This window comes from Homo sapiens, chromosome 8, assembly GCF_000001405.40.
Source record: "Homo sapiens chromosome 8, GRCh38.p14 Primary Assembly".
Lineage (NCBI taxonomy): Eukaryota > Metazoa > Chordata > Mammalia > Primates > Hominidae > Homo > Homo sapiens.
This window is the reverse complement of record NC_000008.11, coordinates 120,187,571-120,202,099: the sequence shown is the minus strand read 5'-3', so window position 1 is coordinate 120,202,099 and position 14,529 is coordinate 120,187,571. Positions and strand designations below refer to the sequence as shown.

Here is a 14,529-nt window from a genome sequence, read left to right as displayed (position 1 = left end):
ATAAATCTCTCTGATGGTTCTTGCCTGAAGGACTTCTACAATTGCTTCTCAAATGTACATCTGAATTAATATAACATTGAGTGTATGCTGAAGCAGTGCCAATAATGCTTTTTTTGTGATATTCAGTTGAATCCAACAAGTTTGGACTTATATAGAAATATTCTGGGAAAAATAGGCCCAATTTTGCTTCTCCCTCACCTTCCCAAATAAAATAGTTTGACTGTTGCAACTGCACAGAAAAGAGAGGAAATGGTCATCACGACTTTGGAGGAATTTGTTTTCTAAGGATTTTGCCTTGTTCATCTTTGTACCCCAACAACCTCCACAATGCCTGGCACATAGTATGTAAGCTAATACTTCTTGAATCAAGCATTCTATAAGCCACATTGTGAATAGCAAATCTAGGACAGGGTCTAAAGTTTTTTTTTCATTGATAACTCTAAAAGATGTACTGTTAAATTTCAGGGTAAGAAATGTTCCTGCACAGCAAATTTAACTCAACTCCTAGGACCAACTTCACATTTATCTTTACAAGTGAAGCTACCGTATGGTTAAATCCATTTATTGCCCATTTAAATTCCAGGGGTGTGCTGGTAAATGTAAATATTTAACAGTCAGCTTTCTGCCCTCATTTGTAGTGTTTGCCAATTTCTGTAGAATAAATACCCCACTGTAGCTTATTCCAAACTACCAATATGAGGTCACAGGATGCAGACTTGGGAAAAGGTGTGCACAATTGGCTCTTGCAAACTGGCATGAGCTGGCTCCTGCACAACACTGAGCTATAACAGCTACCTCCTCCTGCACCACACACACATGCACACAAAATAACAAGGTTCTAATTTACCAAAACAAAGTTCAAACATAATACATTTTTAATTTTTTCCCTGGATGTCTTTGTTCTTTCTTCTGTAAATGAAAAATGTAGCAGTAATGGCTACATTACTATAGGATAATATACATCACTTACTTGAATAATAATAATACACTTCTCTTACATGTATCTTTCAAGAATATTTTTATTTTTAATACTAAGGGAAATAATGCTATCTTAGAAATTCTTTAGAGCACTAACTTATTAAACAGCCATTTATTGGATACTTTTTAAGTGTCAAGCACTGGGATAGGTGATCAGGATGAAAAAGTGAAGAAGATACAACCTGAACCTCTGGGAACTCACTGCTTAGAGATGCTGTAGGAATAAGGAAAAGAAACAGGAGGGAACATCATAGTTTCCACAGCTTCTGCAGCTGTTCTTAGACTGTACTTGGCTACATACTAGTAGGAAACAAGTTCTGAAAAAATGATCAGAAACCTCCTCTGATGAAAAATAATATATATATATATATATATATATATATATATATATATATATATATATATAAATAGGAAAACTTTTTAGGATCTTTCTCTAAAGGAGACAAACTTACAGTATACCTAGAGGAGATATTCCCTTGGGCTTACCAGTAGTTCTCAACCCTGGAGAATGATTTTAAGGTACAGAACTGGGTATGGTTTTAAAACACGTATTCCCAGGCCCCTTCTCCCTGGATAGTTCAATTTCATAAGAGTAGAATAATACTCTGAAATATGTAGTTTTTATGCCAGCACCCACTATAACTGGGTATGTAACTACAGAGCAGAGAGTACTATCTTTTGATAGAAGAAACAGCTCATGGAAAGTTCACAAAAAGAAAAATGCACCATATTCTTGATAAATGCAGAAAGATAAATGCATTTTATTTGGACTAAAGATTGATCACAAATAAAATAATTAAATATGTAAAACATAATAAAAGGGACCCTTCATGATAACCAATTTCAAATGTCTTCAGAGCCCTATTAAGGAATTCGCTGTTATATTTTGGTTTGTGTTTCAGTGTTGCTTGGGAATCAGGCATTTTTTCTGCTGAGAAAGTTTGTTGTTCTCTACTAAATAGAAGACGTTCCCATTGCCAAAGAAAATGTTAACATTTTAATCAACAGCAAAGTCACATCATCTAAATATTTTGTAGTTATTCTGAATGTATGCTATCTATATATATATATGCTTTTTCACACAAGAAGGATACCTTATAAAGGGTTAGTTTCAGATAAGAACTACTACAAATCTTGAACTTTGTGTCTTCTTTACGTAGTTGCAGGATCGTATTTCCTTGAAAATGATAAATTAGATTCTTCCTATATTACCAGAAAAGAGATAGCTATGACCCTTAAGAGAAAGTCTTGACTTACTAAACAGTAACAAACATGTACCTGACCTTTGCATGCCACTTTATGCTTTTCACAGCATTTTATATATGACACCTCACTTAGAAATCCTCACACCATGGGATACATGACAGCTAGCATCACTCCCATTTTAACTGTAAGGAAGCTGGGCTCAGATCACAGGGCTGCCTATGACAAGTGCCAAGACTAGAAAGTGCTCAGGTCTCCTGGCTTTCAGTGAAGTGCATTTCACATTACATATTGTTTTAAGTGGTTGTGGGTCTATGCCCTTAGTTGAAACAAGACTATAAAGAGCACATACCTATGGCAAACAGTTCTACACCAGACTCACGAAGATTTCTAGATGGTGGAATAATGTCATCTTGGGATTTTCCATCTGTGATTAAAATGCCAATTTTGGATACTCCAGTCCTTGATCCTGCTTCTGGTTTGAAGCTATTTTCAAAAATGTAGTTCAAAGCAAGACCTTGGAGAAAACAAGGAAAAGTAAACACCAGCTATCTCTAATAAAAAGTCTCCTAATTCTTCAAGATATAACCACAAGATGGGTAACCTATTGAGCCATAGACTTTTTATTACATGCAAATCTTCATTTTTGTAATAACGTTGTCTTTCACAGATTCAACAAGGAACTAAAATCCACTGGAATAAAGGTAATGAAAATAATTAAACACTGCATTCTTTCAGAAACTAGCATTTATAAAGAACACTGAATTCATGGCCAATGGATGATAATAGATTTCATGTACAAGCAGATCTGAACCTTTATAATTCAGGATGAAGCAAGAATACTCACACAGTAGTGCGTTATCACTAGGTTTTCAATTTTGTTCGTGATATTCTAAAGAACCAAAAAATCCCTCTCTTTGTTTTTTAGGAGTAGAAGGGACAAATCTAATATCATTAATCGTACTCCTGCCTTTTGAGCATGACACTTTCCATCCAGAAAAAAATAAGAAATGGTGCAATATTGTTGTAGGATTTGTGTTCAATAAATTGTTTGCTGCATTAACAAAAATTCCACGAGACTTTGCCTCAAGTTGGCAAAGCAATGATCAGGATTCTACTGGTTTACCTAAAAATCAATAACAACATCTACATTGCTTCATCTGAGCATCTCTAATATGTGCCTGTGGCAGGCAATACAGGTTGAATATCCACTATTCAAAATCCTTGAGACCAGAATCGTTTTGGATTTCAGGTATTTTTGGATTTTGGAATATTTGCATTATATTTGCTGGTTGAGCATCCCAAATCTAAAAATTCAAAACCTGAAATGCTTCAATGAGCATTTTTTTAGCATCATGTTGGCACTCAAACATTTTGGATTTTCAGAGTTGGGATGCTCAGCTTGCAGCATGTCTCAAGGTGAAAATTTTTACAAACCCCTTGTGATTGTGCCATGGATGATTATAATGTAAATATTCTTATATTCGTCATTCATCAAAAATACTGTGAGCCAAAGATCCATATTATTATTATGAAAAGAGAGGATCTTGACTTTTTAGAAAATTATTTCACAATATTTTCATGATAACTAATGATTGCAGAATAAGGGCAAAGAAAATATCTTCTTTGAAAATAAGAAGAAATTTGTTTATATTTGAATAACAGGGTGGAGGATGGCAGGAGGAGAAAAGTAGCGAAGAGATTAGCTGACAAAAGTTAGACAGCTACTCCACTCTGTTGGTCTCAGGGCTTGCTTCATTTTCTCCTAGCCCAACCAAGCCCTTCCTGGGACATTATAGTCATAGAGTAAAAGGAATGAGATATCTGGCTTTTAACTCAATGCTGAGTTTGGGAAAACAGCCATCAAAGAATCCTAAGTGCTAGTTTAATTAAAACATTATGATAACGCTTACAAAGTGGCAAAATGAGGTAATACAATTATTCTTCAAAAAGATATGTTGTTATAACATGGATTGAACAAAACATACCTGTTAGTGTATTTCCTCCTTTATATGGGAGGTTTCGGACAGCTTCAATCACTTCATCTTTTGTGCTAAATGCATTCAAGTGCCATTCTATTCTGGGGTCACCACTATACTGTGCAAGACCTGGAAAAAAAGATTAGGAAACGCACCAGGAATAATGGGTTACTCAAAAATCTAGTGGGCTACTCAAGAAACTGGAATGACGAAAGGCCTCATCTTTGCAAAAATTTTTTATTTTGGCCTGGCTATAAATTTTCAAAAAGATTTGCTGAGTAAGATCAATTAAAGGAATCAAGTTAGACATATACGGGGGTTGAGGGAGTGTACATATTTTTTAGCCATTTATAAATGAGCGCCCAATTAGGTACTTGGCATTAAAAAAAACTCTGATCATGTTTGTAGATAAAAGGTCTAGATTTATTTGTTGTTGATTTATTCTCAAAGGAGTCATTTTTCTTAATGGCTATTTAAAAGTTAAACTAGGAGACTTTGTTTAATAAAGATTTATTATTTTTATTATTTGATTACAAATAATAAATATTTGTAATTGCTCAATATTGCTCAAAGATTTACAACTTTTTTGCTTCTTATCTGGGCTAGAATTAATTTGGCAAAGGTTATCTTGTACTATTAAATGACTGCCAATTTTCTAGTTCAACATTTTCCTAGATTTAGCTATTTCTTTTAAATAAAAAGAAAACTGCTATGCAATAAATTCTTAAACCAGCTGTAACTTTTAAAGTAACAGAGAAGAACTTGACTTTTCAGAAGATTAAAATATGTTCAATAATTAATTGAATGACAGTGTCATTGCAAAAATTAGAAGGAATAAATAATATTTATTGATCCAAACATGTACTTTAGGGGACCATGAGTATCCTGCAATCCTGAAAGTCACTTTGTAAGGAATTTTTGAAATTTCTTAAAATACTTCCCAGCAGTTTTGCACTGACAACTGACTGCTACTGCTAATAATAGAAATTATACCAATTCGTGTCTTCTCTGAGCCCACATCGAATGCTGTAACCAGGTTTTCCAAGAAATGCCGAACCAGTCTGAAGTTGAATCTTCCAATACTCCATGAACCATCGACCAGGATTACAATGTCAGCAATTGCTGGAGTTTGACAGACAAATTTCACTTCTGCAAAGCACAAACCAGAAAAGCGCATGTGTTACTGTCAGAGCAACTTCAAAAACAGTCCATCTTAATGTCTTTTAGACAACTTAGTGCTAAGAATACAAAAGAGTTCCCGTAGGAGCAGCCATCTTTTTACAACTCTTCCCTTAAATGTATTTTACTAGAAAAAAAATTGTGGTAACTGTTGGCAGTAGAGCCAGTACTCTGGAAATAGGAAAATACTGGGCAGGTTCACACCATCCTGACAACTCAGCCTTCTGTGTATTTTAGAAAGTAGTGTCTGTGCAAAAGCATCCAGCTCTGAGCTTTTGCCTGTTGATTCTTTCCAGGAAAGGTCTTAGCAACACCAGCGTGTGCCAGTCAGCCGAGATGGGAAGACGGCCAGGAGGCAAAAAGACGGCTCTCCTATCCTGATAAATTTATGCTACAGGAAGTGATAGAAAAAAGAGAAATGCGGACTTTCTGAATTCAAGGAAACATTACAGCCACGTATTTAATCCAACAAAGGTACAGAGACTTTTTCTAAAGTAGGAAGGGCTTTTGGAACAAGATAATGGGAAAAAGGCCAAAGAGTTTCCCCAAAGTCAAATGTTTTTTGCATATTATGTGTATGTGACAGTAAATTTTGCTCCTAAAGATCATGTAAATAATTGATTTTTTTAAATGGCTCAGTTAGGACTCAGGACAAAGATTCAGAAGAGGATGCCCAGTGGCCATGGTACCTATGTTTTACTATTAGAGAAGGCCCCACTCACAGCAATGCTGGGGAAATGCAGAAGGTGAATGGTTAAGTCTCTACAACAATGGAGGAGGCTGCCTGATCTAGGGTAGGTCTGTGTTTCTTTAGGGGAAACTCACCATTTCTATTCACACCGAGCCAAGACAAAGGAATATTCTCCAAGTGTTTCACAAATCCTTAACAATGTCGATATGGTTTGGTTGTGTCCCCACCCACATCTCATCTTGAACTGTAGCTCCCATAATTCCCACGTGTCATGGGAGGGATGCAGTGGGAGGTAATTAAATAATGGGGGCAGGTATTTCCCATGCTGTTCTCTGAATAGCGAATAAGTCTCACAAGATCTGATGGTTTTATAAAAGGGAGATTCCCTCTGCACACGTGCTCTTGCCTGCCACCAAGTAAGATGTGCCTTTGCTTCTCCTTTGTCTTTCGCCATGATTGTGAAGCCTCCCCAGCCATGTGGAACTGTGAGTCCATTAAACCGCTTTCCTTTTTAAATTACCCAGTCTCGAGTATGTCTTTATTAGCAGCGTGAGAACAGACCAATACTTTTAGTACCGATCGCAACATTGCTTCGAACTCTGGTCTGTGCTTCCAAAGAACTGCTTAACTTTGCTGAATTTTCATGTTAGGACTAGAGATCATTAAGTGTGTGTGGCGGGCAGAGGGGTTTGGGGCTGGGTTTCCTGTATCCTTTTTATTCTTGCTGGTCTAAAAAAATCTTTATTTTTTTAACATATATAATGAAAACCAAAATACAGAAGTATTCATAAACAAGTTGAATATGCTTTTACTTAAAAAAAAATAGTTGAACTATTATGGTTGGCATAGGCAGTTTAATATACGTGTCTCTGCGCCTACCAGGCCACATTTTGCTTAAAGGATCTTGACTTTTTCCAGATATAAATATTCATGGGATACCTAGATGCTTTTACCAGATGGGGAAAAAATGAATTTGCCAATGAAATACTCCAATATTCATTATGGAAGCTAAACAGTACAACTTAATCCAAAGTTTGTGTATTCACTTTCTGGCACCAGATTCCCTTTCTTAATCACCAAATACAGAGCCATCAGCTGGTAACTTTGTATTTGGGAGTCAACCCTACTGTACCACACTAAGAAAAAGGCTAAAATGGAATGCCACAAGAAGTCAAGGGATAAAAATTAATTTGTTTTTTGGACATAACCAGGGAAAATTGAAGTCTGGTTAAGCTTCAAGAACCCATTTTTCTCTGTTTTTATGGGGAAAAGTTACTCTCAAATGGAGAGTAGTTTTCTTTCTTTTCCAAAACTACTGGGGATATTATTTCACTTATAAATTAATTGGGAACCATGTGGATAGGATCTTAGAAAGGGAACGCTTTCTGCTTATTTAAAAGAGAGGTAATGAAATTGGTATTTTCTGGTTTAAAAAATAACTTCCAATAGATATTTTCTGTTTATTTAGCTCATTCAAGTCAGAAATGACTTGGAAATACAAATTCTGTATAGCTCCTAAACAAGATATAGAACTAATTGACTATAAATCAAAAGATTGATAAGTTTAATAAGACTAAAAATGTTTAAGTTGGTCATCAAAAGACATCTTAAAGAAAATAAAAGCATAAGTGTGGGGTATGGTCAAGGTCTTAGATTTTGGGGGTAAGGGGGGGCTTGGGTGCTTATGACACCATTAAAAATTACTAATTAAGTAACTAATTAAAAGAAGAGGGAAATAATCCTATCTGGCATGCAGAAAACATTATCTAGAAAAATAATTTGAGTGTTTATGTCACATAATTTAAGCACCAAAAACCTTAAAAGCAAACTACAACTAGGCATATTTCACTTGAAATTAAGACTCATAGGACTGGCAGCCAAGATGGCCGAATAGGAATGGCTCCGGTCGACAGCTTCCAGTGTGAGTGACGCAGAAGACAGGTGATTTCTGCATTTCCATCTGAGGTACCGGGTTCATCCCACTAGGGAGTGCCGGACAGTGGGCACAGGACAGTGGGTGCAGCGCACCGTGCGCGAGCCGAAGCAGGGCGAGGCATTGCCTCACCCGGGAAGCGCAAGGGGTCAGGGAGTTCCCTTTCCTAGTCAAAGAAAGGGGTGACAGATGGCACCTGGAAAACCGGGTCACTCCCACCCTAATACTGCGCTTTTCCGAGGGGCTTAAAAAACGGTGCTACAGGAGATTATATCCCACACCTGGCTCGGAGGGTCCTACGCCCACAGAGTCTCGCTGATTGCTAGCACAGCAGTCTGAGATCAAACTATAAGGTGGCAGCGAGGCTGGGGGAGGGGCACCCACCATTGCCCAGGCTTGCTTAGGTAACCAAACCAGCCGGGAAGCTCAAACTGGGTGGAGCCCACTACAGCTCAAGGAGGCCTGCCTGCCTCTGTAGGCTCCACCTCTGGGGGCAGGGCACAGACAAACAAAAAGACAGCAGTAACCTCTGCAGACTTAAATGTCCCTGTCTGACAGCTTTGAAGAGAGCAGTGGTTCTCCCAGCATGCAGCTGGAGATCTGAGAACGAGCAGACTGCCTCCTCAAGTGGGTCCCTGACCGCTGACCCCCAAGCAGCCTAACTGGGAGGCACCGCCCAGTAGGGGCAGACTGACACCTCACATGGCCTGTTACTCCTCTGAGACAAAACTTCCAGAGGAACGATCAGACAGCAGCATTCGCGGATCACGAAAATCTACTGTTCTGCAGCCACCGTTGCTGATACGCAGGCAAACAGGGTCTGGAGTGGACCTCTAGCAAACTCCAACAGACCTGCAGCCGAGCGTCCTGTCTGTTAGAAGGAAAACTAACAAACAGAAAGGACATCCACACCAAAAACCTATCCGTACATCACCATCATCAAAGACCAAAAGTAGATAAAACCACAAAGATGGGGAAAAAACAGAGCAGAAAAACTGGAAACTCTAAAAAGCAGAGCGCCTATCCTCCTCCAAAGGAACGCAGTTCCTCACCAGCAACAGAACAAAGCTGGACGGAGAATGACTTTGACGAGTTGAGAGAAGAAGGCTTCAGACGATCAAATTACTCCGAGCTACAGGAGGAAATTCAAACCAAAGGCAAAGAAGTTAAAAACTTTGAAAAAAATTTAGACGAATGTATAACTAGAATAACCAATACAGAGAAGTGCTTAAAGGAGCTGATGGAGCTAAAAGCCAAGGCTCGAGAACTACGTGAAGAATGCAGAAGCCTCAGGAGCCAATGCGATCAACTGGAAGAAAGGGTATCAGTGATGGAAGATGAAATGAAAGAAATGAAGCGAGAAGGGAAGTTTAGAGAAAAAAGAATAAAAAGAAATGAACAAAGCCTCCAAGAAATATGGGACTACGTGAAAAGACCAAATCTATGTCTGATTGGTTTACCTGAAAGTGACGGGGAGAATGGAACCAAGTTGGAAAACACTCTGCAAGATATTATCCAGGAGAACTTCACCAATCTAGCAAGGCAGGCCAACATTCAGATTCAGGAAATACAGAGAACGCCACAAAGATACTCCTCGAGAAGAGCAACTCCAAGATACATAATTGTCAGATTCACCAAAGTTGAAATGAAGGAAAAAATGTTAAGGGCAGCCAGAGAGAAAGGTCGGGTTACCCACAAAGGGAAGCCCATCAGACTAACAGTGGATCTCTCGGCAGAAACTCTACAAGCCAGAAGAGAGTGGGGGCCAATATTCAACATTCTTAAAGAAAAGAATTTTCAACCCAGAATTTCATATCCAGCCAAACTAAGCTTCCTAAGTGAAGGAGAAATAAAATACTTTAAAGACAAGCAAATGCTGAGAGATTTTGTCACCACCATGCCTGCCCTAAAAGAGCTCCTGAAGGAAGCAATAAACATGGAAAGGAACAACCGGTACCAGCCACTGCAAAATCATGCCAAAATGTAAAGACCATTGAGACTAAGAAGAAACTGCATCAACTAATGAGCAAAATAACCAGCTAACATCATAATGACAGGATCAAATTCACACATAACAATATTAACTTTAAATGTAAATGGACTAAATGCTCCAATTAAAAGACACAGACTGGCAAATTGGATAAAGAGTCAAGACCCATCAGTGTGCTGTATTCAGGAAACCCATCTCACGTGCAGAGACATACATAGGCTCAAAATAAAAGGATGGAGGAAGATCTACCAAGCAAATGGAAAACAAAAAAAGGCAGGGGTTGCAATCCTAGCCTCTGATAAAACAGACTTTAAACCATCAAAGATCAAAAGAGACAAAGAAGGCCATTACATAATTGTAAAGGGATCAATTCAACAAGAAGAGCTAACTATCCTAAATATATATGCACCCAATACAGGAGCACCCAGATTCATAAAGCAAGTCCTGAGTGACCTACAAAGAGACTTAGACTCCCACACAATAATAATGGGAGACTTTAACACCCCACTGTCAACATTAGACAGATCAACGAGACAGAAAGTTCACAAGGATACCCAGGAATTGAACTCAGCTCTGCACCAAGTGGACCTAATAGACATCTACAGAACTCTCCACCCCAAATCAACAGAATATACATTTTTTTCAGCACCACACCACACCTATTCCAAAATTGACCACATAGTTGGAAGTAAAGCTCTCCTCAGCAAATGTAAAAGAACAGAAATTATAACAAACTGTCTCTCAGACCATAGTGCAATCAAATTAGAACTCAGGATTAAGAAACTCACTCAAAATTGCTGAACTACATGGAAACTGAACAACCTGCTCCTGAATGACTACTGGGTACATAACGAAATGAAGGCAGAAATAAAGATGTTCTTTGAAACCAATGAGAACAAAGACACAACATACCAGAATCTCTGGGACACATTCAAAGCAGTGTGTAGAGGGAAATTTATAGCACTAAATGCCCACAAGAGAAAGCAGGAAAGATCCAAAATTGACACCCTAACATCACAATTAAAAGAACTAGAAAAGCAAGAGCAAACACATTCAAAAGCTAGCAGAAGGCAAGAAATAACTAAAATCAGAGCAGAACTGAAGGAAATAGAGACACAAAAAACCCTTCAAAAAATTAATGAATCCAGGAGCTGGTTTTTTGAAAGGATCAACAAAATTGATAGACCGCTAGCAAGACTAATAAAGAAGAAAAGAGAGAAGAATCAAATAGATGCAATAAAAAATGATAAAGGGGATATCACCACCGATCCCACAGAAATACAAACTACCATCAGAGAATACTACCAACACCTCTATGCAAATAAACTAGAAAATCTAGAAGAAATGGATAAATTCCTTGACACATACACCCTCCCAAGACTAAATCAGGAAGAAGTTGACTCTCTGAATAGACCAATAACAGGATCTGAAATTGTGGCAATAATCAATAGCTTACCAACCAAAAAGAGTCCAGGACCAGATGGATTCACAGCCGAATTCTACCAGAGGTACAAAGAGGAGCTGGCAATTCTACCAGAGGTACAAAGAGGAGAAAACCTAGGCATTACCATTCAGGACACAGGCATGGGCAAGGACTTCATGTCTAAAACACCAAAAGCAATGGCAACAAAAGCCAAAATTGACAAATGGGATCTAATTAAACTAAAGAGCTTCTGCACAGCAAAAGAAACTACCATCAGAGTGAACAGGCAACCTACAAAATGGGAGAAAATGTTCGCATCCTACTCATCTGACAAAGGGCTAATATCCAGAATCTACAATGAACTTAAACAAATTGACAAGAAAAAAACAAACAACCCCATCAAAAAGTGGGCGAAGGACACGAACAGACACTTCTCAAAAGAAGACATTTATGCAGCCAAAAACCACATGAAAAAATGCTCACCATCACTGGCCATCAGAGAAATGCATATCAAAACCATAATGAGATACCATCTCACACCAGTTAGAATGGCAATCATGAAAAAGTCAGGAAACAACAGGTGCTGGAGAGGATGTGGAGAAATAGGAACACTTTTACACTGTTGGTGGGACTGTAAACTAGTTCAACCATTGTGGAAGTCAGTGTGGCGATTCCTCAGGGATCTAGAACTAGAAATACCATTTGACCCAGCCATCCCATTACTGGGTATATACCCAAAGGACTATAAATCATGCTGCTATAAAGACACATGCACACGTATGTTTATTGTGGCACTATTCACGATAGCAAAGACTTGGAACCAACACAAATGTCCAACAATGATAGACTGGATTAAGAAAATGTGGCACATATACATCATGGAATACTATACAGCCATAAAACATGATGAGTTCATGTCCTTTGTAGGGACATGAATGAAATTGGAAATCATCATTCTCAGTAAACTATCGCAAGGACAAAAAACCAAACACCGCATGTTCTCACTCATAGGTGGGAACTGAACAATGAGAACACATGGACACAGGAAGGGGAACATCACACTCTGGGGACTGTTGTGGGGTCGGGGGAGGGGGGAGGGATAGCTTTAGGAGATATACCTAATGCTAGATGACAAGTTAATGGGTGCAGCACAGCAGCATGGCACATGTATACATATGTAACTAACCTGCACATTGTGCACATGTACCCTAAAACTTAAAGTATAATAATAATAAAATAAAATAAATAAAAAAATTTTAATTAAAAAAAAAGACTCATAGGAAGATATTTTTTCAACAATTTCAAAAGTCAAAATCCATCATTGGTTTTGTACTGCAAAGTATGATTTTTCTTGAAGACTAGTACGTACTCACTTGAGAACTGTAAAAACAATATTTTTTCTTGTGTCCTAAATCCAGGTTAGCAGCTCTAAGACATACATAAACACAATGAACCCTAATGGCTATTTCCATCATAAGGTACACATGTACAATGTTTGTCCCATCAACAGGTTTGCCTGTGCCAGGGGCAAACAGCTGTTCATATACTTGGTACAAAGAGGTAATTTAAAAGCCACTGTGTTCAAGTTCAATAATCATATACCTTAACCATAATTCCAGCTGTTACAGTGAATCTTTTTAAAGAAATGCATTCAAATCATTGTCTTACTATAAGCAGGAGCCCAGATTCAAAACTGAAGACAACATTACTCTCCACTGGCAAACACATTACCCATTTCACCATTCTTAGAGAGACATCAATCAGAAAGAATATATTAAGTACCTTAAAATGTGTTAAAAATCAAGTAGTAGAAAAGAAAACCAGACACGCCTGGGAGCCCAGGTAAATGTGTAAAATCCAGCAGCTAAATGTAGTTTAAATCTATAATATAAAGGAATGAGTGCATAAGCTTTTATTGCTAAGACAATATTCCAAATTAATTTGTAAAATAACATAAATCCTTTTTGTCTGCAAGCCTGTATTTAAAATTAAAGCAAAGGGACAGAGGAAATGACCTGTTGAACTGTGTTTTAATTCAGCTCTTAACTTTACATGGGTCTTACCTAAAATGCAATTCTGAAAATACAGGTTGTGTTTTTAAAAATGCCTAAGCAGCTGAACTTAAAGAAAAGCACTCAATATATGGCCTTGATTACAAAGATAATAATAATAGTTTCATGTCACAGATAGAATCAAAAGGAACAATTGCACAAGTCCAGGAGAAATGATCCCCTTTCTCTTCTATACTTTCTGGAGTTTTGTGATGAGAAGAGTTGGAAGAACTAGCGATTTCTTAACATTTCATATTTGGAAATGATGTACATTATTATATTAAATGTTAAGTCTGGGTGTGGTGGCTCATGCCTGTAATCCCAGCACTTTGGGAGGCCAAGATGGGTGGATCACCTGAGGTCAGGAGTTCAAGACCAGCCTGGCTAACATGGTGAAACCCCGTCTCTACAAAAATACGAAAATTAGCTGGGCATGATAGTGGGTGCCTGTAATTCCATCTACTCGGGAGGTTGAGGCAGGAGAATTGCTTGAACCCAGGAGGTGGAGGTTGCAGTGAGCTGAGATTGCACCATTGCACTCCAGCCTGGGTGACAGAACGAGACGCCATCTCAAAAAAAAAAAAAAAAGTTAAGCCTTCCACACTTATCTGTTGATTTAGTCCTCGCAACAACTCTATGGAACAGGTACCATTACTATTATTCCCATTTGCAGTCAGAAAGGATGGCATACAAGGGCTGTGTGATTTGTCCAGGGTGTCACACAGCTAAGAAGTGGCAAAGCTGGGATTTGAAACCCAAGTAATGTGTCTCCACAACCTATGTTTTTAACCACAGGGCTATATACTGACTTCAGGAAGGTACTCTATGTTACGTAAATCTAGAAATTAAGGGGGAAAAGCTTGTTACATAAAGCAGTGTCTCTGCAGGGCTTGCCCCTGCTGTGTCCACAGCTAATCTGTGCTGTTTGCTAACATGTCCAATTATTTGTCTAGAATGTTTTTCCATCCCAAATAAATGCACTTTCATAGTGAAGTTGCCCATGTGAAAAGCATCCTTCTTCCAATAATTTTACACCAATTTTATTGTGTTACTGACATCATGAGAAACTCCAAACCCATGTTTATTCATTTGATGTTATGCA

At 38.1% G+C, this 14,529-nt stretch overlaps 1 protein-coding gene across 11 annotated transcripts in view; it reads right to left on the bottom strand.

Moving 5' to 3' along the window:
- The window catches only part of COL14A1 (collagen type XIV alpha 1 chain), a 249,120-nt gene that overhangs the window by 171,474 nt on the left and 63,117 nt on the right, over positions 1-14,529 (bottom strand). For all 11 annotated transcript variants that reach the window (NM_001413490.1, NM_001413491.1, NM_001413493.1 and 8 more), the window contains 3 exons: positions 5,154-5,309; positions 4,170-4,289; positions 2,534-2,698 (listed from right to left, as the gene is read on the bottom strand). In NM_001413490.1, the coding sequence (NP_001400419.1) occupies positions 2,534-2,698; positions 4,170-4,289; positions 5,154-5,309 (441 nt within the window). The remainder of the gene's footprint in view (positions 1-2,533; positions 2,699-4,169; positions 4,290-5,153; positions 5,310-14,529) is intronic.